Source organism: Homo sapiens, chromosome 5, assembly GCF_000001405.40.
Source record: "Homo sapiens chromosome 5, GRCh38.p14 Primary Assembly".
Classification (NCBI taxonomy): Eukaryota; Metazoa; Chordata; class Mammalia; order Primates; family Hominidae; genus Homo; species Homo sapiens.
In genome coordinates, this window is record NC_000005.10 from 73051745 (window position 1) to 73074948 (window position 23204).

General features: G+C 33.4%; 1 protein-coding gene across 9 annotated transcripts in view; it reads left to right on the forward strand.

Moving 5' to 3' along the window:
* Positions 1 to 23204, forward strand: part of FCHO2 (FCH and mu domain containing endocytic adaptor 2) — a 134482-nt gene that overhangs the window by 95704 nt on the left and 15574 nt on the right. For 5 of the 9 annotated variants that reach the window (NM_138782.3, NM_001146032.2, XM_017009016.3 and 2 more), the window contains 8 exons: positions 588 to 763; positions 2416 to 2427; positions 2781 to 2805; positions 4321 to 4363; positions 6689 to 6780; positions 12097 to 12200; positions 16906 to 17035; positions 22998 to 23109. In NM_138782.3, the coding sequence (NP_620137.2) occupies positions 588 to 763; positions 2416 to 2427; positions 2781 to 2805; positions 4321 to 4363; positions 6689 to 6780; positions 12097 to 12200; positions 16906 to 17035; positions 22998 to 23109 (694 nt within the window). Of the gene's footprint in view, positions 1 to 587; positions 764 to 2415; positions 2428 to 2780; positions 2806 to 4320; positions 4364 to 6688; positions 6781 to 12096; positions 12201 to 16905; positions 17036 to 19146; positions 20320 to 22997; positions 23110 to 23204 lie in introns of those variants that run through there. The other 4 variants (XM_017009020.3, XM_017009021.3, XM_017009019.3 and 1 more) reach the window with 3 other exon arrangements.

Below are 23204 nucleotides of genomic sequence, written 5' to 3' on the forward strand. Positions count from 1 at the left end.
TAGTAGAGACAGGGTTTCATTATGTTGGCCAGCCAGGCTGGTGAAGAACTCCTGACCTCAAGTGAACCACCTGCGTTGGCCTCCCAAAGTGCTGGGATTACAGGTGTGAGCTAACCCGACTGGCCTTGACATATTTTTATTAATAAAAGTTAGTAGTCTTATTTCTGTTAAGGTCTGTTTTTCTCTTTGGTTTTTTTGAGATGAAGTCTCACTCTGTCACGCAGGCTGGAGTGCAGTGGTGCGATCTCGGCTCACTGCAGCCTCCTACTCCTGGGTGAAAGTGATTCTCATGCCTCAGCCTCCCGATTGTCTGGGACCACAGGTGCATGCCACCATGCCGAGCTAATTTTTTGTATTTTTAGTAGAGACAAAGTTTCACCGTGTTAGCCAGGATGGTCTTGATCTCCTGACCTCGTGATCCACCTGCCTTAGCCTCCCAAAGTCCTGGGATTACAGGCGTGAGCCGTCGCACCCGGCCCAAAGTCTGTGTAACTCTTAAAGGTTTCATTCCTTTTTTAAAATAAATGTGTGAAAAACTGGTTATACGTCTAAGGTAATTTAAAAACAATTCTTTAACTGAAACTCACATACCAAAGAGAACCATTTCTACTCATCTAGTGATTCTGACTCCGAAGATGAAGAACCAAAGAAGTATCGGATAGAAATTAAGCCTATGCATCCAAATAACTCACATCACACAATGGCTTCTTTGGATGAATTAAAAGTATCTATAGGGAATATAACACTCTCCCCAGCAATATCTGTAAGTACAAACACGTTTGTACTCTTTATATAAAAGTCTTTATTTTTCTTACCTACCTGTGTCTGGTCAAACATTACTTAGCAATTGTTAAGCATGTTGACTGAGGAAATACTTAGTTTATAATTTTTATACAGGGAAATAAACTTGTGAATTTGGCTTAATTTTGCTTTTGAAAGTAGAAAGTGAAAATGTCAAAAATTTACTATTTCTGCCATTTGTTGCATTTCATAAACAGTGCTGTGTGTCTCTGGCAGAATTCTTTGAATTGGCAGTATTAATTTTTGCCTCATCTAATTTTGAAGTGTTTCTTCTATGTTTTGTGAGCCTTATGTAGGAGGGAATTTTATAAAAATGAATTTAAAGATTAAATTATATATTTGCATTTTTTTTAGTCTGTCACTGTAACATTTATTTTCCCATACTTTTCATACAAGGAAAGGCACAGATAAGAGTTCTTAGTGGTAATAGTTAATTCCTCAATTCTAAAATACCGTATTTAATAGGATTTGAGGGAGAAATAAAACATTATCCCAGTAAATTTTTTCCTCATTGATGTCAATTTTAAACTTAAAAATGTTACACTATGTGAAAAAAGCAATTCTTAGGATAAGTTAAGTATATCTATATGTGATCATCATGATTGACATTAAGTCTGTTCTTCTTGATAATGAAGAATAAAGGTTCTCACCGTTTCATATTGTTGTCTAATTACATATTTTATGTAGTTACATGTATTTGTTTGGAAAAAAAGGTGGTTTTCTCCCAGTCATGTACTTCAGAATTTAGTTTCAGAACTATTTTCTTCCTACCAAAAATATTTCTGAAATGAGGTTTTATTGTACCATTACTATTTAACGTTAAGATTAATGTTGAAGTACAGAGTTGCTTAAAAGTTGGTGAATATAGGGCCGGGCATGGTGGCTCACGCCTGTAATCCCAGCACTTTGGGAGGCCGAGGCGGGTGGATCACAAGGTCAGGAGATGGAGACCATCCTGGCTAACACAGTGAAACCCCGTCTCTTGAAAAAATACAAAAAATTAGCCGGTCGTGGTGGCATGCGCCTTTGGTCCTAGCTACTCAGGAGGCTGAGGCAGGAGAATTGCTTGAAAACCATGAGGCGGAGGTTGAAGTGAGCCGAGATTGCACCACTGCACTCCAGCCTGGGTGACAGAGCGAGACTTCGTCTCAAAAAAAAAAAAAAAAGGTGGTGAATATATACGAAGTATGAGGTTGTAAACCATTAAAAATGTGTGTTATGTAAGAGCATAACTAATATAAAATATGTATGTTAAATATATAAAACAAAAGCCTAGAGGAATATATGGGTAGTGAGATTGTGAATAGTTTTAAATTTTCTCTTTTGTACTCTTCTCTTTTCAGTTTGTTTTTAAAAAACAATGAACATGTATTAATTTCATACTATGAAAATAATAATCAGAACAATTTTATAGTTAATATTGGATAAGAAAAGATTATATCTGAATATATTTTGCTGCCTCATTTGCTTAACTTTTTCCCACCTGACAGTGTATGTGTTTTAAGGTGTATATAGTTTAGATATGATTGAATAGGGAATGATAAATTATTACAGCACAAAAATACAGTATTCAGAATTCTAACCTAATTTTCTTTTTCTTCCATGTACTACTAGAGACACAGTCCAGTAAGTACAAGATTTTATATTTTTGCCCATTGACTTTTAAAATCATTGTAATTTTGGAAGATTGACTTTCAAAATATTTGTATTAAATTTTTAGATTAGCAAGTTTTAGTGTTTTGTTGTAGATGTTGCTTTAATATTTTAAAAACATTAGGTGTTAAAACTACATGTATTATTTTTTGCTGTAAAACAAAAACTACTGTTTTTTCTCTATATCTTTTATGTAAATACACTTTACAATTGAGCAGATATACTAAAAACAACATAAAATTAGGTTCCCAGTATTAACATTTTACCAAATATTTAATTATCAAATTCATTTGTTTTATGGTACCTATTTTGCATCTCTGTTTTAGGTACAGATGAATCGGAATTTGTCTAGTAAGTTTGACATTTGAATTGTTTATTTTATGTCTATTAAAATTTATAAGGCAATTTGTTAGTCTTTTACCTTTAGCTGTAGAAATAAATGATCTTTTCTCATCATGAGCCCTACTGCGTGGCTAGAAGGATAATTATTTTAAATAGAAAACAGCGTATCTATATTATTTCCTGTAGAGCTGAGAGACATGCTTTAAACTTCAATACATGGCTACAACATTTTTCAGAAATCACCAAAGCCAAAAAGTAACTTCTGATTCAGAATGTTAAACGGTTTCACTGGCATTCTCTGTCTTATTAACCAGAAAGCGTTTATAAGATGAGTAATATTGAATTTTACCTATTTTTAAGTTGTGTCACAATTACAAATTCTATTATAATTTAATTATACTAAAAATTATACTAAAAACTTTTCTAAGGTGCTAATACCTTTTGCAGAATCATGCATTAAAAATAACAAGGGTTGTGGGAAAAACAGTTGAAGCAGCCCACTCAAAAGCTATGTAATTTTGTTAACAGAAGACTTAACAGAAACTTTAACATCAGTTTTATTAAAAATTCTAACAGAGTTTAAGAGACCTAGTAAATGAATAATAAATACCAAAATAAAAGTAAGGATTTTATCTTTAAAGAAATGTTGATTGTAGCTTAATGATAGGGGGTGTGAGGAAAATGAGGATAAATGCAGGGTGCTGAGTTGTGGAGATGAGAGCAAAATGCAGAAATATTGAAGAATAGCACAATAAACACTGAGGCAAAACAACCAACCAAACTGAGCCAAGTGAAGAATGTAGAGTGAATGGTTATCATGTACTGTGATACTCCTCCATAGTTTGTGGAAGTTACTCATATTGATGTACTTTGCATTCATCAGGTATTGCTTGGTGATGCAAAGAAAACATGAAGGTGCAGCAAAAATTGCTTATGCACCAACATGAGTTTTTCATTAATGATGCTATTCCCCTGTTTACCACTTGCTTGTGAAATGAGGCACATTACAAATCCAAAAGGTAGCAAAACAAACTATCTTATAAAGAGACTTGCTCCAGGTTGCTGTAAGATTCTTAATTTTTCAAAATATGACATCCTCAAGAGTTAATAACTACTTTTTGTCAATACAATAATCACTAATAATATTCTTAGAACTTGAAAAATGCATTCATGATTCATCAGTTAAAATTCTTAACTAGAATTTATGTATTTAAACATTTTTCTAATTTTTAAAGTTGCAACCCATAGTTTCTCTTTTCTAAACAGCAATTTTAATGAATATCATAGTTTAATTGACTTAAGTCATTTCTTACTAAAGATATTAGAAGGAACCAGGGTTTTGTAATTTCAGTTATTTTAATGTACACAATAGAAAACTTGTTAAAATATTGTTTGTATTTACATTATCAATTCCAAAATTTTTAATTGTTATAGTGTTGAGATATGTGTATAGAGTTTCTGTTTTTCATTAAAATATTTTATTTCTCAGATTATGAAGTTTTCATATTTTAATTTTTTAATTAGATGAGGAGTTAACAAAATCAAAGCCATCTGCTCCACCCAATGAGTAAGTTTCCATGTTTAATTTTGTTAAAAAATAGACTTTATTTTTTAGAGCAGTGTTTGATTTATGGCAAAATTGAATGGAAAGCACAGAGATTTCCCTTTATGCTCCCTGCCCCTTCATATGCCCAGTCTCTCTCACAGTCAAATTCTCTCACCAGAGTGGTACATTTGTTAGAATCAGTGAACCTGCATTGACACATCATAATCACCTAAAGTCCACAGTTTACATTAGGGTTCATTCTTGGTGTTGGACAAATGTGTAAGGACATGTATTCGTCATTATAGTATCATACAGAGTATTTTTGCTGCCCTGAAAATCTTCTGTGCTCCACCTTCTCATCCCTTCTTCCACACACTTACATTTTAAGTATCCTTTTGTCTTTTTTTCTAGAGTTTTATTAGCTCTATAGTTTTAATTCCAGTAAAGTTCTGTTAATCATCCTGTTTTCTGAGCTGTCAAATGCAATGTTGGAGTTTTTAGAAGTTTAAAATTATTTCTCGCTTGGTAATATGTCCTTTTACAATAAAAAAAATCTATTTAACCACAGTTGGCCTTGGTAGCCTCACTACTTCTAAATAAATGATGAAACCCTAAATTCATACATATCTGTATTTCAGCTGGTTATTCTCATGGGAATTTTCTCATTTCTTCCTTCAGTTTTGACTGTGACGTTATAAAATAATATACTTCGTAAGCTTCAAAAAAAGAAGTGTGTCAAGTTGGAAAGGGAGAGAGAGGCTAGAAGGCATGTTGCCAGCTCTTCTTAAAAAAAAAAATGTTAAGCCAATGTTTCATGGGTCTCTTTTTACTTCTGTGTCTATCAGTTAAGAATACTCTCTTTGAGTTAATGGTTTTTTGCTTGTCTGTTTTGAGACAGGGTCTTACTCTGTCTCTCAGGCTGGAGTGCAGTGGCGTGATCATGGCTCTCTGCAGCCTCAACGTCCCAGGCTCAAATGATCCTCCCGCCCCTGTCTCCCAGCTAATTTTTTTCAAAATTTTTTTTTTTTGGTAGATACTGGGTCTTGCTATATTTCCCAGGCTGGTCTCGAACTCCTGGACTCAGACTCCTGAGCCTCTCAAAGTACTGTGATTACAGGCATGAGCCATCAAGCCTGGCCAGAGTTAATGTAAAATACAAGTAAAAGTAGGCTTAGTTAAATAGGTAGTTTACAATTATTTGATACTTTTGAGGTACTAATTGAGCATAGTGGTGGTATTTATTGGATGTATCATTTTTTTAAAGATAAGTTGTTGAGTGTTTTAAAACTGTTTTTAGGAGTCATACAGTTGCAATGCTAGGCTTTATCATACGAGGTATAGTGTGCTTTCATGTAGGTGCATGTTGAGATGCTGGATATGTACTCTTATGTAATTACAGCACTTTCATTATAGAGGGCCTGTTTTTTTGTGTGTGTAAGATTTCCTAAAATTTTTTAAAATAATGGCAGTTTGATGCATTAAAATATGTAAGCCACCTTTCTGTACTTAAGGGCTTAAAAAAATCACTTTACCCTTTTTCTTCATCTTTGAAAATAAGTATGGCCTTATAAAATTTTAACCCAATTTTATACCACTTAAATTTTCTTTTCAGGATTGGGTGCTATGTGTGAACCAGCAGATGTGAGCCTGTTTTAGAATCAAGTAGCTGTATGTCTTTGGGCAGTTCATTTAGACGTGTGCTGCTCTTTTTTATTTGTAAAGCTGAAATTATTATTCCCATTATGATAGCCCCCAAGGTGGTTGAATCTAACAAGGCATGATGAATGGGAATTAATCTTCCCCATTCTCCTCTGCTAACTTCACATGTTATCTTAGGTTACGCTTCTAACAAATATTGGCTGTTAAATCTGTTAATTAATTTCTACACATATACTACTGATAGAGTATCCAACTTTTAAATTAAAAAAAATTATTTTTTTTACGGACGGGGTCTTGCTCTGTTACCCAGGCTGGAGTACAGTGGTGCAATCATAGCTCACTGCAGCACAGAACTCCTGGGCTCAAGTGATCTTCCTTAGCCTCCTGGATAGCTAGGACTACAGGCATGCACCACCAAGCCAGGCTAATTTAAAAAAATTTTTTTGTGTATATTGGGTCTTGCTATGTTGCCTAGGCTTGATCTTGAACTCCTAGTCTCAAGTGATCCTCCTGCCTGAGCCTCCAGAAGTGTTGGGATTACAGGTGTGAGCCATGGTGCCTGGCCCTAACTTTTTAATTATGTATATTGAGCTGTTAGAATTCTATGAAATAAAAATAAGTGACTAGAAATTTTATACTAATAAAATATTCTCGTTAAAATTTTTGCTTTTAAAAATATTATGGTAGAAAAGGAACCAGTGATTTACTTGCTTGGGACCCCCTATTTGGACCATCTCTTGATTCATCTTCTTCATCTTCACTAACTTCATCATCATCAGGTAAATATATATATGTATATATGTATTTTTTTAAATAAAGAATACTTTAGTTGCTTTTTCTCATTCACTTTTTGTGCATTGTACTTAATGATCAAAATTTCTAAAAATTTGTCCTCTGTATTGCCAAATAAAAGTGATTTTATTCTGGTTTTGTTCTCTTAGATACTCTATGACTTAAACAATAAAAATTGGTAAAATACTAAGTGGTTTTTTAAATTGGCATGTTATTTCTAGGCATTTCATATCATTATCCAAATAATAATTCTTAGTGTTTATAGATAATTCAAATACAAAATATATATCAATGTAACCAGTTCTTTCTTGTTGGAAGTTTAAGTTGCATCTAATTTTCTAGTATTATGAACATCCATAGAAATAACAAATTTTGTGCATATGTCTCATAATATGCTTGTAGTAATTTATCAATTTAAAATTTATGGCTTACAAGATGATGTCCATGATACTTATTGCCAAACTGCTTTCTAGAAAGGCTTTAACACTTCCCAAGCAGTTTACAAAAGAAGTTGATAAATGTTTTTTAGTTGTTTTGGCAATAATATATGAAGTTTCTCTTTTCATTAGTCAAAAAGCAGGCACCAAAAATGTATGTTTAATAAAACCACTGCTTGTTCAAAACAAGAAAATAAAATCAATTTTAGTTGATCTTCTACCCTCTTCTCTGGGACTTCAGAATTGCCATCCAGTATTTGGGGTTAAGGAAGCGCTGGAATCATGCGGGAAGAACTTAAATCTGTCTAGTTCATGCTAGGTAACTTTGTTAGGAGTGCCACACATTCTATTTAATTTCACCACATTAACAGCAGCATGAAGTTGTTTTTATTGTCCCTGTTTTATAGATGAAAAAAGTAAAGCTCAGAGATAATAAGTAACTTCTCCAAGATTATATAGCTAGTAAATGATGAAGACAGGTTTCAAACCTGGCTCTTACTTATTCTAAAGCCATTGTTCTATCTGTCACACTTTGGCAGATTAACAGCAACAACAAAAAAGCCATGTTGAAATATCTTACTATTAAAAATTAAATATTGGTTTTTAAAATTAGACCGTTTAGCAACAAAATATTTTTAAAAGATACTATAAGTGGATTATAAGAAACCTTAACCCTAAACACTAAACGCTATTTGACCTTTTGAAGGGAAGGTAATCTGTACTTAATACTTGTAAAACAGCAAGAAACAGTCAATAGATAGTTGAACATAATCTGAAGTGGCTTTATAGCCTTTCTCATTGAGCATTTGTTACTATTTAGTATTATAAAATTAACCATATATATATTATATGAAGAAAGTAATTGTACAGGAAAATCTGATGTTGTTGCCAGATCTCTCTTTTGTTTAGTAAAAATGTCAGAATGGCATTTTGTATTTAGAATGAGGAGTTCTCAGCAGTATTTTCGAATTTTGTTAATATCCCCTTATGAATTATTAAAGTCTTTAATAAAAGTTTTCAAATTGGTATCACAGAGGTTTTATTTATATAGAAATTTCTTTATAATTCTGCTCATTGTTTCTTGATATTTTCTCTAGTACAGTCTCTTTCATTTTATAAAAGTACTCTTTCTTCCTTTTGCTCCCTGTCTAAAGAGTGTTTGGCTCATATCACCATCACTTCAGGTAAAAAATGGTTCGTTTTCATTTAGTGGTCATTGATGTTTGGCCATTAGGAAATGATACAATATTTATTAACTTCTTGCTGGTTTTAAAATTCACTTCAGTATGCATTTTTAAATCTTCCTATATAGTATGAAAAGTAATGTTATAAATTTTGCCTTTCAAAAAAAAAGTTAATGATGCTCAAAAGAGATAGTTATCTTGTTATATAGTAGTTACTATTAAGTCTTCACTTGAACAGAATATAATTGATCAAACTAATTAATTCATAATTGCGATTCTCCTGTTTTACAGAACTGGCCCTAAGTGAAGTTACGAAATAGGCATTTTATCTTAAATTTTTATTTCACTTATTTTTATTGTTTTCTTGGTACTCGCTAGTTACAACCAGTCTTAAACTTTGTCCCCCATTCTTTGCAATGCACTTCTCTCCCATCTTAACATCCTCTACCCAGGTACCCATTTTAACATTTTAGCAAGGTCCAGGTTGTGAGATCATTCAGTGCTCTCCTGTGTGTCTTTCATAATCTTAATTCATCACTGACCTCATCTTAAAGCAGGCTAAAAAATAATTTCAATCAATCAGTTAATAACTGATAGTTAAGAATCCCAGTGTTGTTACATGTTTTAAAATGTTGATTAGGGCTTGGCTGAAAAGTAGTTTCAGTTGCATCTTATACCATGTAGACTATAAATAAGCATTCATGTTTATGTCAGATATGAATATATATAAACATCGATATGTGTATTTTTAAAAATTTAACATAAATATCTTACGCCTACCTCCCCTTTGTTAAGTGCCAATGTAGATTACTTTCTCTGCCTATGAATTAATTGAACTCTTGTGCTCACAAAAAAAAAAAAAACCGCTTAAAATGATTTTTTGAAAAATATTGGGCTGTTTTTAAATATTAACTCGAACCCTGATGTAGTCCGATGTACTTCCTGGGGGCAGTTTTATCACTGGACAATGATGAACTTTGTTGAGTACCACACATACACAGCATTGTTGCTTTGCCACCTTGTCGAATCTTTTTAGATCTTGTACTGACTATAAATAGTTACCTTTGCTCCTCTGGGAAAACAGGAATAACTCTGACTTTGTATAATTTTGGACCTTCAGTTTTTCATATGCATTTTAAGTTTCTAATGTACATACTTCTTCAGTTAATATAGTTTGAACTTATGCTCTTCTTCCGTGTATTGTTATTAAATTTTCTAGTTTCAAATAATTAAAACAAGGTAACTATTTGGTTATATGGATTTATGTTTAATTCTAGAATTTTCCTTTTGCTTGTAGTTTTTTATTTTCTTCTTCTTCATCTGAACTTGTAGAGCAGAGTAGGAACTTCAGTTCCTTTCTCACTGATTTGCCTGGGTGTGTGATAATTGAAAATTTACTTGAAACCCAGTCAGATTCTGAGTCTAGAAAGTCCATCACCAGACTTGTCCCCCAAATCTCTACTTTATTCTGCTGTAACAGCACCACTCGAGAGCACAGATAAAGTTCCTTTTGCTTCATGGCTACAAAGTCAGTGGATTTTCTTTACTGATGAACTTGTTACAATTAATAGCTCCAGTGTTGCTCAGAAGGCATTCCAGAGATTGCATTGTAAAGCTGAAAATACTTTTAGGTTTCCTAATGCTTTGGATGGGATTTCTTCCGACAGCTGCATCTCTGAGGATCACAGTGACCTTTGCCTAATATTAGATGTTTTGAAAATGTACCTGCAGAAGCAGCTAACAGTGCTGCTGCTATTTCTTCTACATCATCATTATTGCTTCTAGATTCTAGATTAGTTTCCACTTTTGTTCAGATAAAGAATGGTATGACAAGCATGCTTTGTCTATTTGCTTTAGTTAATGTCTGAGGGCAGATATAGAGTAGCCCTTATCGCCTATGTTTTTTTATACTTCACAGGTCAATTTATATTTCTTGAAACACTGCTTCTAATAGAAATTTGTAGCACTGATCTCCACCCCACCACCAGCAAAAAATAAAACACAGGACACTGAAGAAAGTAAACAATTGCAGTTATCTCCTTCAGAAGCTTCTAGAAGCAGTGCCTAATTGACCTATGCAGATATAATATAGATTCATTTATAAACAGTGGTGTTAATAAGTATTGTTACTAGCTTTTCTCGAAAAGCAAATTTTGAACTGAACTTAATACTTCTACCAGGCTTGGTTTGAGTCAATCTAAATGCCATTTGGACAGACCACTTGATCAGTAATAAATGCCTCTGCTGTGTAAACTCTCTCACAAGTTTGAAATAACATAGGCTAGTGCTAGTTTCATTGATGATGAACATATCTTTAAAGTAGATATGTAATACACAGGGAAGTGTTATGGGCTTCAGATTTTGGTGCACATTTCTTCCAGGGTACAGCTTCAAGTGTGAGTGCAGCATGAAAGAACTGGTACTGACTGGAAAAAGACAGTGGCCTCAGAATCTAAGCTTGATTTACTAGCTTTTTTGTTTTCCTTAAGCAACCTGAACAGCGTTTGCATCTTTTATCTCTTATTATGGTATGCTTTCTAAGTGATTCCCTACGTCCCATGCATGTACAACTTTCAATCCGTGTGACTACCTTTTTCTTTAGGTCTCTTCCTACTACCTCTATGCACCTTCCTTTCATGCCTCCTTGATTCCTCCATTGATGATTAAAGGCCTTTAGCTTTGCAGTTTATTTCCCCGTGTGTATACTTAGGCCCACTTATATATTTTTAATTTTGTACATCTCTAAACTTTGAAAACATGCTGAATATGTTTCTTCCCACCCATTATATTTTTCAGTCTCTGAATTATAGCCTGTATTTTAGTGTGAGCCAAAGGGCTTTGAAAATCATTTAAGTTAATTTATTAATGATTATTAAACATGATTTTAAAGAGGGTTTAAACCTATTTACTTCCATTTTTTTTACTCCTTCTTTGATTATGCTAATACATTTGTGACTTTTGATGATGTATACATGACATTTATCCAGTAATTTACATTGTGATGAGATTAAGAATACTGATATTTCTGATTTGTAAAATTAGCAAATGGCATTGAAAAACTCAACACTAAATTTATATAGGACTTAGGAACAAGTTAAGATATTATTTTGAACACTTACCAAAGTTAATTGTAATGATTTGGGGAATTTTTTTTAGTAAACTAATAGAATATCTGATTATCTCAAATAATGTACCCCCCAAAATGTTACAATGTGGTTCAACTTAAAAGGCAAATTTAACAATTTTAATTAAGGTAAGTATTTTATTTAGAGTTTACAATATTATTCTGGAGGTACAGCTTCAAAGGCTTGGTCTCGAATTACTATCTGTAAAATAGATGTATTGGCAATAAACAAATGACCTTTGGCCTTAAATTGATTTGTTCTCATCAGCTAATGTATCAGATTTAATTTTTATATGTATAGATAATGAAACAGGAATAAAATTTATATGTGTCAGTTATTGAAAGGTTAACTTTTTTTCAGGAATATTACTGGTCACTTCAAAATAAAGCATATTTGATAGATTCCCAATATTTCAACATCTATAATTACATCTAAAAAAAGAGCCTCCTGAAAAATGAGCTTTGATTACCAAAAGTTTCTTTATAATAGAATGTCTTTATGTAAGGATTGCTACATACTAATGATTTTCTTCAAATTCTCTTTTCCCCCTCAACCAGCCAGGCCCACAACTCCTCTTTCTGTAGGCACCATTGTCCCACCTCCGAGGCCTGCTTCCAGACCAAAGCTTACTTCAGGCAAACTCAGTGGGATTAATGAAATAGTATGTACTCAGGTTTTTTAAAAATTATTTAACTGTTTTGATTTAAGATGCAAATGCTATTTTTCTATATGCCCTTTTACAGTTAATTGCTTGAAGTTTTCTACCCATGTCCTCACAGTATAGAAAAATTTTCCCAGCTAGTGCTTCCTTTACTCTTCCTTGTTACCACAGTGATCATACCTGTGAGACACGACATTGTCCAGGAGGAAAGAGATTTCCTGAGAAAGTTGGCACATTATAAAAATACCATTCAGTATCCATTGTCTCACAATAAAGAAGCGGTTTTCATATAATTCTACTTAAAGTCAAATGTTAAGGAAATAAATGGTGGCTTGTTCTTAGACCTTAAAAGTATACTGCAAGGAGGATTATGGAAGGCATCTAGCTCAGCATTTAAAATTTTACACATAAGGAAACTGGAGTCCACATCATCCAGTTGACTTATAAAAGTACATGCATGGGTGGGAAAAGCATTGGTTTTTAAAAGTCATCAGATAGAGAAAATCTATAGACTCTATGCAGTGAGGCTCTCCCAGTCTATTTGCCTTTGATCTGGTTTGTTTTGCTTCATCTTCTACACTAATTGCCAGTTTAATTACCAGAATTAAATTTCTAAGTCCAGTTTAATCTTTTTTCCCTTGATACACATTTCCAGTGGTTTCTCAGTCTGTGTGGTTGACTGTTTTAGCTGAATGTACAAGAGTCTTTATAAAGCTGCCTCAACAACCTACATTACCAGACTAACTGTCCATCTTTCTCCCCTTTTCAACCTAGGTTCCAGCCACTTGAAACTTTTCAGGGTTCCTTAAACACATCATGGTCTTTTACATGTCCATGTCTTCTTCCTGTGCTGTATCTCAAATGCCCCTCAGTTTTCTATGTCACAAATTGACTTCTTTCTTTAAGACCTAGCTAAACATCACCACCTAGGCAAAACCCTCTTTGATCATTCCTTCACTTATCTTCCTTATACCCAGATACTTTGCTTATATTTTTGTTAGTTCATATATCACCTTGTATGTACTTTTTTTGTGTGTGTTACCTTTACTGGGCTATTCCTTCGTCAGTCTCATATCCTCAGTACTTTGCATGATGCCTGTTGGGTGGTACACAGTTATGAAATCTTCAGTGAATATATTGAAAAGCTTCGGCACCAAGTATTGAAATGGTGATATCTTTCTTTTCCGAATGAACAGACTTAGTGGAAGTAAAATAAAAGACTAGGTACAAGCTGCCAAGGAGAAGGTTATTATTTAAGTAATATAGAAATTACTACATTTTAAAATACTTCATTCTCTTTTTTAAATCGTTATGACTAGAACTTTGAGTACATTCTAATAAATTGATTTTTTTTTCCTGATTGTAAAAACAGTAAATGATCGTGTTATAAAATTTGGAAAACAGAGAAAGCAGAGAAGGAAAATTATAAATTTCCTCTGTATTTCACCACCCAAAGATAACCACTGTTAACATTTTTTGGAATGCATAAGTGTTTATCCAGAGGCAGTAAAATATAGTTAAAAGTACAAGCTTATTAGCCACGTATTAGCTGAGCAACATTAAACAGTTATTTAATCAGAGTTTAGTTGCCTCATGGATAAAATATGTGTAATGATATTAGGTTGTGAGACTTAAATGAGTTAATACATGTAAAACAGAATATTGTTGAATGCAAATAGTTGCTCAAAAATTATTAATTGTATAGGCATATTTTTAAATAAAAAGTCATACTTTACATATTTCTAATTTGTTTTCTACTTGCAAATATCTTTCTATATCATGAATTATTCTTTGATTATAATTTTATTTATAGAATTAGGGGATACAAGTGCAGATTTCTTACATGTATATATTGCATACCGGCAGAATCTGGGCTTTTGGTGTACCCATTAACTGAGTAGTGAATATTGTACCCAACAGGTAATTTTTCTACCCTTACCCTTTTCCCATCCTCCCACCTTTTGTAGTCTTCACTCTCTGTTATTCCACTGTATATGTCCATGTGTAACCTTTGTTTAGCTCCCACTTATAAGTGAGAACATGAGGTATTTGACTTTCTGTTTCTGAGTTATTTCACTCAGGATAATGGCCTCCAGTTCTATCCATGTTGCTGAATGAATTATTCTTATTTCATAGTCTTCAAGCTTCTTTAAAGTGATAGAATCTTTTGCCAAATAACTTTAAATTGTAAGTATTAATATATTAAAATAAAGTGGGACTCATAGTTGAATCCTTCACATCATCCCCATATCACCATACACTACCCTCTCCCCATCCTTGAGAGCCTTCTAGAAACCACCCTCTGAGCTTCAGGGAGCACTATTTTAAGTGGCTACAGAGTATTTCAATATGAGTGCTCTGTCTTCTACACCGTTGTCAGAATTAAATTTCTAAATGTTTTCAGAAATTTATTTGACATTTAGTTCCATGTTTTTGTTATTATAAACAATGTCTTAATGACTGTCCTTATGGTTTCTTAGCATTCTTTTTTAATAAAAAATTTTAAAAGTGCAATTTATGAACTAAACTGTATGTACATTTTTAAGACTCTTGATGATTATTTCTGTATCACCCACCAGAGAGAGTATGTTGATTTAAATTTTCTCCAGCTGTACATTGGAGTGCCTTTTCTTTTTTTTTTTTTTTTTTTGCATGCTCATATGTGCATTTTTCTGGAGAGAGCTCATAGCTTTCACCAGATGCTCAAAGGAGTCTATAACCACATCCTCCCTACCCACTGAAAGAACCACTCATTGTTCTAGAGCAGGGGCACCCAACGTGCAGTACCAGATCAGTAGCATTAGCATCACCAGGGAATTTGGTAGAAATAGTTTCTCTGGCTTCACCCCAGGCAAATTGGAAATTCAGGGGAGGGGCCAAGCAACTGTGTATTATTAACAAGCCCTCCATGCGATTCTGATGCCTGCTAATGTTTCAGAAACATTGTTTTAAAGCAATGCCGTCCAATAGAAATATAATATAAGCAACATATAATTTAAAGTTTTCTAGTAGCCACATAGAAAAACAATGGAATTCATTGTAATATATTTTATCTGCTATATAAAAATATTATTTTAACACATTCAATATGAAAATTAATGAGATTTTACATTCCTTTTGTGTGTATGCTGTGTCTTCAAAATTTGCTCTGTATGTTGTAGCACATCTCAATTTGGACTAGTCACATTTCACGTGCTATTGGCCACTGTAGTAGATAGCATAATTCTAAAATTAGAGAAAACCACTTGAGAAAAGAGCTGTTTTTGCCTTTTCCTAAAAAAAATTAAAAAGGCAGTCACATTATGTTGGCCTAGAGGTTATGTTGCCATAGGAGAAATGTCCCACAGTAGTTGATCTCAAGACTTTTTCCAAGCTTGTAAGTTTCAGACTAGCTGTTGATCAGTATCTGTTCACCCCAATGTCCTGCACCACCTTGGTCTGCGTATATACACAGCTGCATTTTTAGCATCCTGCTGAGTTTTTTCAACCTATTGTCCATCATAATGAGTCATCAAAAAGCTGTACTCTGGAAAAAATAGTTAAATGGGTAGGGGGTTACAAATTGTAAAACACTTTTTGCAGTAAAATGACAGTTTTATTAAAATGTGTATCTCTAAGTTTATATTCATGCAATGAAGAATTGACTAGTGTATGAATGCAAGTAGGGTTTTGTTTTTGCCTTTTTTTCATGTTCCTCAAATAACTGAGGACAGTTATCTTTCTTGTTCACAGCTTTGTATCTAGTACCTAATCCAGGGTCAGACACATAGTAGACACTAAATAAATATATATTTGCCTAATACTTTTATAAGCAGGAAAAGGTTTTTGTTTTTTTTTAAATGAAGACAAATACGCCTATTTTTTAAGAAAGCAAAACACCTCAGGAAGTGTTGCTACTGAATTATTGGTACAGTTAGGAATTTGGAAGGAAAAGAATCTGTTCACCAAAGTAAAAGATAAATGAATTGGAGTTATATTTTTTATATTTGTTTTATGTTTAATTAGAAAATTGGGAAGACAACAGAATTGAGTCGCTCAAACCTTTGTATGGAGTGAGTTTTCTGAGTGAGGAAGCATTACAAGGAATTACTGAGGAAAATGTGAACAGATTTGTAAACACCAAAAGTGTAAAGGACAAGCAATATTTAAGGAGGAAAATATTTGCAAGAAAATAAGGCAAAGGCTTAGTGAAAGCTCAGATAATACTAAAACCTCCCCAAATTACATCAACCCATTCATAAAAGTGAAGGTTTTATTATTTTCTAAATTAGCTAGAAAAAATTTTTAATCCCTTTTTCTTCTTCTGTGACTCATCCATTTGTTTCTGGCAAGGGTGTAGAGAAATAATTTTCTTATATTTATAGTCAGGTAAAGTGAATAACCCTTTTGGGAAGCAGTTTGGGAAGAACGTTTATACTGTTTAAACTAATTTAACTTCTGAGAATCTGTCTTAAACATACTTTTTTAAATACAGAAAAATTTTTATGCACAAAGACCTTTTTTACAGCATTATTTCAAAATAATCTTTTCAGGCTTTAGTATGTTCTTAAAAATGATATGATATATGGCATCTCTGATACTAAGTTACAAGAAACTCACACAGTAAATTTGGTTTGGTATGTTAAATTTACCTCATACTTAAAAATCTTCTCTAACAAGAGAGGTATTGTTTTAGCATTTTGATAAATAACTTTTTGTTTTTAAGCCCAGGCCATTCAGCCCACCTGTAACTTCCAACACCAGCCCACCTCCTGCTGCACCATTAGCCCGGGCAGAAAGTTCTTCTTCTATCTCATCATCTGCTTCATTGAGTGCTGCCAATACTCCAACAGTAGGTAAGTGATTATCATCAATTACATGTGAAATGTAGTGTACAAAGTATATGTATGCTAAATATGTATATATTTTTAAATGGGCTAATGAAGAATTTAACATTATAAATTTTGTTTTTCTGGAAACACACCTGGAATTTATTAAACTGTCCATGCTTTGCTTTTCTGTTTCACAGTCTATGTTATCTGGATAGAAGAATTTTAACTGTGGTTAGCACCGTTAAGAATGAGTTAAATTTATAAATTGCTGATCAATATAAATAGTTGAAGGCAAAACAAAATGCAGTTCTTCCTTCTGTGAACTGATAGTTGCGTTTCTAAGAAAGTTTATGTTTTAAAAACAATAGTGTTTTGAAAATGATTGAATGAAAGAAAACAATTTGTGCTTGCAGTGAATTATATTTTTCCACAAGAATTTCAAGACTTAAAAATAGCTCTTAGGGAAGTGGTCCCCAACCTTTGGCACCAGGGACTGGTTTTGTGGAAGACAATTTTTCCATGGACTGGGGTCAAGAGGATGGTTTCAGGATGATTCAAGTGCATTACATTTATTGTGCACTTTATTTCTATTATTATTACATTGTAATATATAATGAAATAATTATATAACTCACCATAGTGTAGAATCAGTGTGAGCCCTGAGCTTTTTGTCTTGCAACTAGTCAGTCCCATCTGGGGGTGATGGGAGACAATGGCAGATCATCAGGCATTAGATTCTCATAAGAGTGCGCAACCTAGATCCCTCACATGCACAGTTCACAATAGGGTTCTCGCTCCTATGAGAGTCTAATGCCGCTGCTGATCTGACTGGAGGCAGAGCTCAGGCTGTAATTTGAGTGATGGGGTGGGGGGCGGTTTACTTTAAATACAGATGACATTCACATTCACATTCTCCTCCTTCTGTGCAGCTGGGTACTAGACTGTGGCCTGGGGGTTGAGGATCCATGAAGCATAGCTATATGAACCTAAACCTCACCAAACAAATTCAGTATTTTACTACATCTAGACTTTGCTCAAGAGTTTTTTTGTCATCATTTCTACTCAGTTTTTTCTACAAATTCTTACTACCTTTTTCACCCATTGTTAGGATAATAAAGCACAAAGCCACTTAGACAAAGCAGCTGTGTTGCAGGACATACAACTTCTCATAAAAATTATAACTGTACGTATTGCTGCTGGTTTAAGTAGTGATGGGTTTATTCTTGATAATGCAAATCACTGATTTTCACTAACCGAGCACTAATTCAGTAGTAGTCAAAGTGTGGTCCTTGGACCTGCAGCATCTGCATAACCTGGGTACTTCTTAGAAATGCAGACTTTTAAAATCAGAAACCCTGGGAGTGGAACTAGCAGTCGTTTAATAGGCATTCCAGGTGATTCTGATGCATGCTAAGTTTGATAACCACAGCCCTAATTAAGCTGATTTAATTCCAGTTGATTTGTCAAGGCTCACATAGGAGAAATGCAACTAGTGTGTGGCCATTGTAAAAAGACGATAAGTAATATAGGCTAGAATGAAATATAAAATGGCTTGATTTCTAAATGTCTAAACATGATGTCACCATCTTATTACCTTTGTGAACACAGCATTTTTCCCATCTTTTAATTTTATATAAACTGAATATGTCTAATAAGTTTGCCCTTTGGTTTAATGAATACTTCATTTTTATTTTTTGTTTGTGTGGTTTTAATTTTTTCCCACAGAATCTATATTTTAGTCCTAAAAAACCTAACTGGGACCTACTAGAAAGCAGGCAGGTGGTCTGGGTAACCTTATTTTCGCTTTAGGTTTTTTTTTTTTTTTTCCAGTTATCTTTAGATTATTCAGGAGGTTTTGTGTTTGTGATGGAAACTTTAATTTCTATTGAATTGGTACATATTAGTTTATGGTTTGAGACATTGCTGGCAATAGGACAACCAAAAGCAGGTGACAGTGATAATACAGGCAAGGCAGGTTGTATGTGAATTTTATACAACAAAGATTTTTAAAATCTACCTAAAAAGTTCTCTTTCTTTGCCATGATTTTTCAACGCTGTGTGGATTTAAGTTTCTGATTCTCCTTGTTTCTTGAAAATATTTTCTTTTTCTGCATTATTTTATTTAAATACAATAGAAGATGATAATTTGATTGGGACACACACTGAAATTGAAAAGCACTGTGAGACGTCACCAGGTATTGTATCAGAAGCAAATGTATGTGTTGACTAATGGTCCTTAAGTGTATCTAAAATATTTCGTTATCCAACTTTTCCTTTTCCAGAATTGTATGATGTCTCAGAAATCAAGAATTATGCTAAGATTAACTATTTCAGTTTTGTGCTAATTCCATCAAATTGCTGTACAGGATCCATTATATCAAATCCCCAACTTGCTGAATAGGATCCATTATATCAAATCCCCAACTATAAAAACACGATATTTTTGCATTTTCTTCTCTGCTTTCCTCAACTCAGCTTTAAGAAATGTCAATAAATCTTAATTCTAAAGCTATCCAAATCAGGTAAGAAGTCATCCAAAAAGAATTAAAAGGAATATGTCAGTTAAAAAAAAAACCTCTAATACCTAAATTAGTAGGGCAAAGGCTGTCATATACGAAAACCATACAGATGAAGTTAGAAGCATGGAGATGATAGGAGATAGTAGGGAGTGGGTGTCTGTGTTTTATTTCTGAGCGGAAAGGAATTCTACATAAATATCCATTGATTGTTATAAGAAGGTACCCTATACCTGTTACATACCTCAAGTTTATAAGCTCTCTACATTTTCAAAACAAAATTATCTAAATATGTAACAAACCAAAATTAGAAACCACAATCTACCCTTATTAAGAGAATAAATTTTTATTTCTAAGAAATTATTTATTTGGAATAATACAGTATAGTTTTAGACTTTTTAAAAGACTATTTAAGTACATATTTCCTATTCATTTTTTGAAGTATCCATGTGCAATACGATCTTGAAAGAAAAACAAAAATAGAAAATACGAAAGGGAATATGCCAACTGTTAAGTGGGTTTTGAGTTTTTCTTCAACTTTCCAATACTTTTCTCTGCTTGCCAATGTTTCAGTAATGGCATAATTTACAGGGAAGCTAGGCATAATAATTTACAGAGTCGTGTTATGTGCCCAGATTAGATTGTTGAAAAGAATATTTATGCAGGTTTCTTTTAATTTTTAGTGTCAAAGCAGTAGTAGACATTAATGTTACCATTGACTTTATATAAATATTCATTTGTGTGAGTTACTCAAGAGACATTTTTTTTTTTTAATGAGACAGGGTCTCACTCCATTGTCCAGACTGAAATTCAGGGATATGATCATAGCTCACTATAAGCTCAAATTCCTGGGTTCAAGCAGTCCTCCCACCTCAGCCTCCCAAAGTACTGGAATTACAGGCATGAGCCAGTACACCTGGTCAGGGAATATATTAATTTCATATTTAAGAGAGTATAATTTTAATAAAATAGTATTACAATAACAAATGTTGGTGAGGATGTGGAGAAACTGGAAGGCTTGTGCACTGTTGGTGAGAATGTAAAATGGTACAGCTGCTGTGGAAAACAGTATGATTGTTCCTCGGAAAATGAAAAATGGAATTTACATATGATCCAGCAATTTTACTTCTGGGTATATACCCAAAAGAATTGAAAGCAGGACCTCAAAGAGATAGTTGTTTACTCCTGTTCGTAGCAGCACTATTCACAGCAGCCAAAAGGTAGAAGCAAGCCATGTCCATTGTTGGATGAATGGATGAGCAAAATGTGGTATATGCATACAATAGAATATTATTCAGCCTTAAAAGGGAAAGAAATTCTAACATGCTATGATAACATGGATGAACCTTGAAGACATTGTGCTAAGTTAAATACTGTATGCTTCCACTTATATGAGGTACTTAAAGAGTAGTCAAACTCATAGAGACAGCAAGTAGAATGGTGGTTGCCAGGGGCTGGGGAAACTGGTGGGAGTTGTTGTTTCATGGGTATAGGGTTTCCGTTTTATAAGACGAACAGAGTTATGGAGATGGATGATAGTGATTGTTGCACAGCGTTATGAATATAATTCATACCGGTGAACTGTATGCTTAAGAATGATTAAGATGGTAAATTTTATGTTAAGTTTATTTTACTACAGTTACAAAATTGGAGAGAAAAGATTATTACAGCCTTTGTCTTTTTCAGAAAATATGTTTTCCTGAATTTCTGATGACCCTCTTGTTTAGAACAATATATTAGGGAAAAAAGTGGATTGAACTAAGTTAGATTTACAGTGAAGTTTTCCAGTGTACAAACATATATTTTTATATTTATAATCAGTAAATGTATACTTAATCAGCTTTTTTTCACTTGATATTTTCTTGCATCCCAAAACTAATGACACTTGATCAGGCCACTAGCTTTCACCTAACTGCTCTCACCTGATCCAAACTTGATTCCCTGCCAACAGTCATTTTTCCCTTCAATCTAGGATTTACTCTGTGTTCAGAGAGATCTTACTACATAAAAGCCTAATAATGTTTCTCTCAAACATTATCAGTGGTTTCTAGTGACAAAAGGATAAAATTAAAGGTCTTTCATACCCTAATCTGGATCATGAGCACTTTTCCAGCCTCATCTTTGTGTCTTTTTGTCACTCCAGCCTCTCCCTCACATTTTTTGTTTTGCTTCTGCTTTGCAAAACTAGTACTTGTGCTTCAAAAAGGCACCATTTTTTTTAAATGTCCCCCTAGCAAAGTGCCTGGCACATGGTGGTTAATACATAGTAGCTGTTGTGATTTCATGAATAACTTTTTAACTGTGAAGAAGCTTCTAAATACAAATTCCTTCAAAATCTAGAATACCAAGCTAACAGAGTATCTTTTTTCACTATTTATAGCATCTCAGATTTAGTTGTGAGGCAGAAAAAGCCAGTACTGATTTTTATCAGAATTAATATTTACGGTATCTCAGAGGTAATTCATTGTTTCACTACAGGAGTCGCATCTGAAATAAAAATGTCTGATGGCTGTTAATGTTGTGTAACATATAAGGAAAGCATATATTCAAATTTCAGAGATAAGTGTTGACCTAGATTATTTATTTTTTTCACTAAGGATGAATAATTATAACAAACTCTCATATATTTTTATAAAATTGCATTTTATTTATTAAATGAAATGCTCCCACTTTGGAAAATCAGTAGCAGTAGCAGTAAGGCACGCAGTGGTAAGAAGAGTGCGTTTGTGAAGAAAAACAAAGGCAATGCACTATTTTGAGGGGATACTTCACTTAGGTTACATTTAAAACAATAAACAGAAACCTGAACACTTGCATAAATTTGTTTACATTTTAATTTTGCTCTGTAGACACTGATCTTTCTCTGATTTGACTCTAAAAGGTGTCTTATCTGAGTGAACTTTGGCCAGGGTTTTTTTTTTTTAAATAATGTTATTAGTCAAGTATTTATTAGTCAAATATTGAGGCAAAGTAATGTGGGAATACAATACAAGCATCAGACAAAGAGGAGGTTAAAGAGAATTATAATAATAATGAGTAGTGTATGAAACATTACTACTTGGATAGAAAAACTTAAATACAAAAATCCTAAATTGGCCTTAAATAATGCCCTGAAGTATATGATTGATAGAACCTGGAGGAATTTGGTATTTGAATGTTTTTGAAGCCAATATTTTTGAAATTTTAGCTGTTTAGTCAAGGGCTTTTTTATTCTGACATTCCTTAACCATTCTGTCTTTCCATTTAAAAGAAATGTCTGTGTGACATGTCTTCCTGGTTTTTTTTTGTCCTTTGTATTAATGCTCCAGTTTGTTTTATACTATATTTCTTAGCCCCCAGATTTATCATGGGACATCACTGAAACCAGTGGTAGGGTCGTTTGTGACAGCCTAACAATGTGAATCTAACTATCTTGATATTTAATTTATGTCTTTCTGAAGGATTTAACAAGTTAATTGTGTATATTCTAGGTGTGTCACGGGGTCCCAGCCCTGTCAGCCTTGGAAATCAGGATACCTTACCTGTGGCAGTTGCCCTTACAGAATCTGTTAATGCCTACTTTAAAGGAGCAGATCCCACCAAGTTAGTTTTTAAAATATATGCATGTATGTGTATGTATGTGTGTTGGGTGGAGGAGGTGGTGGGGCTTGGTGGTAAATTTTAAGAATTACATTTTG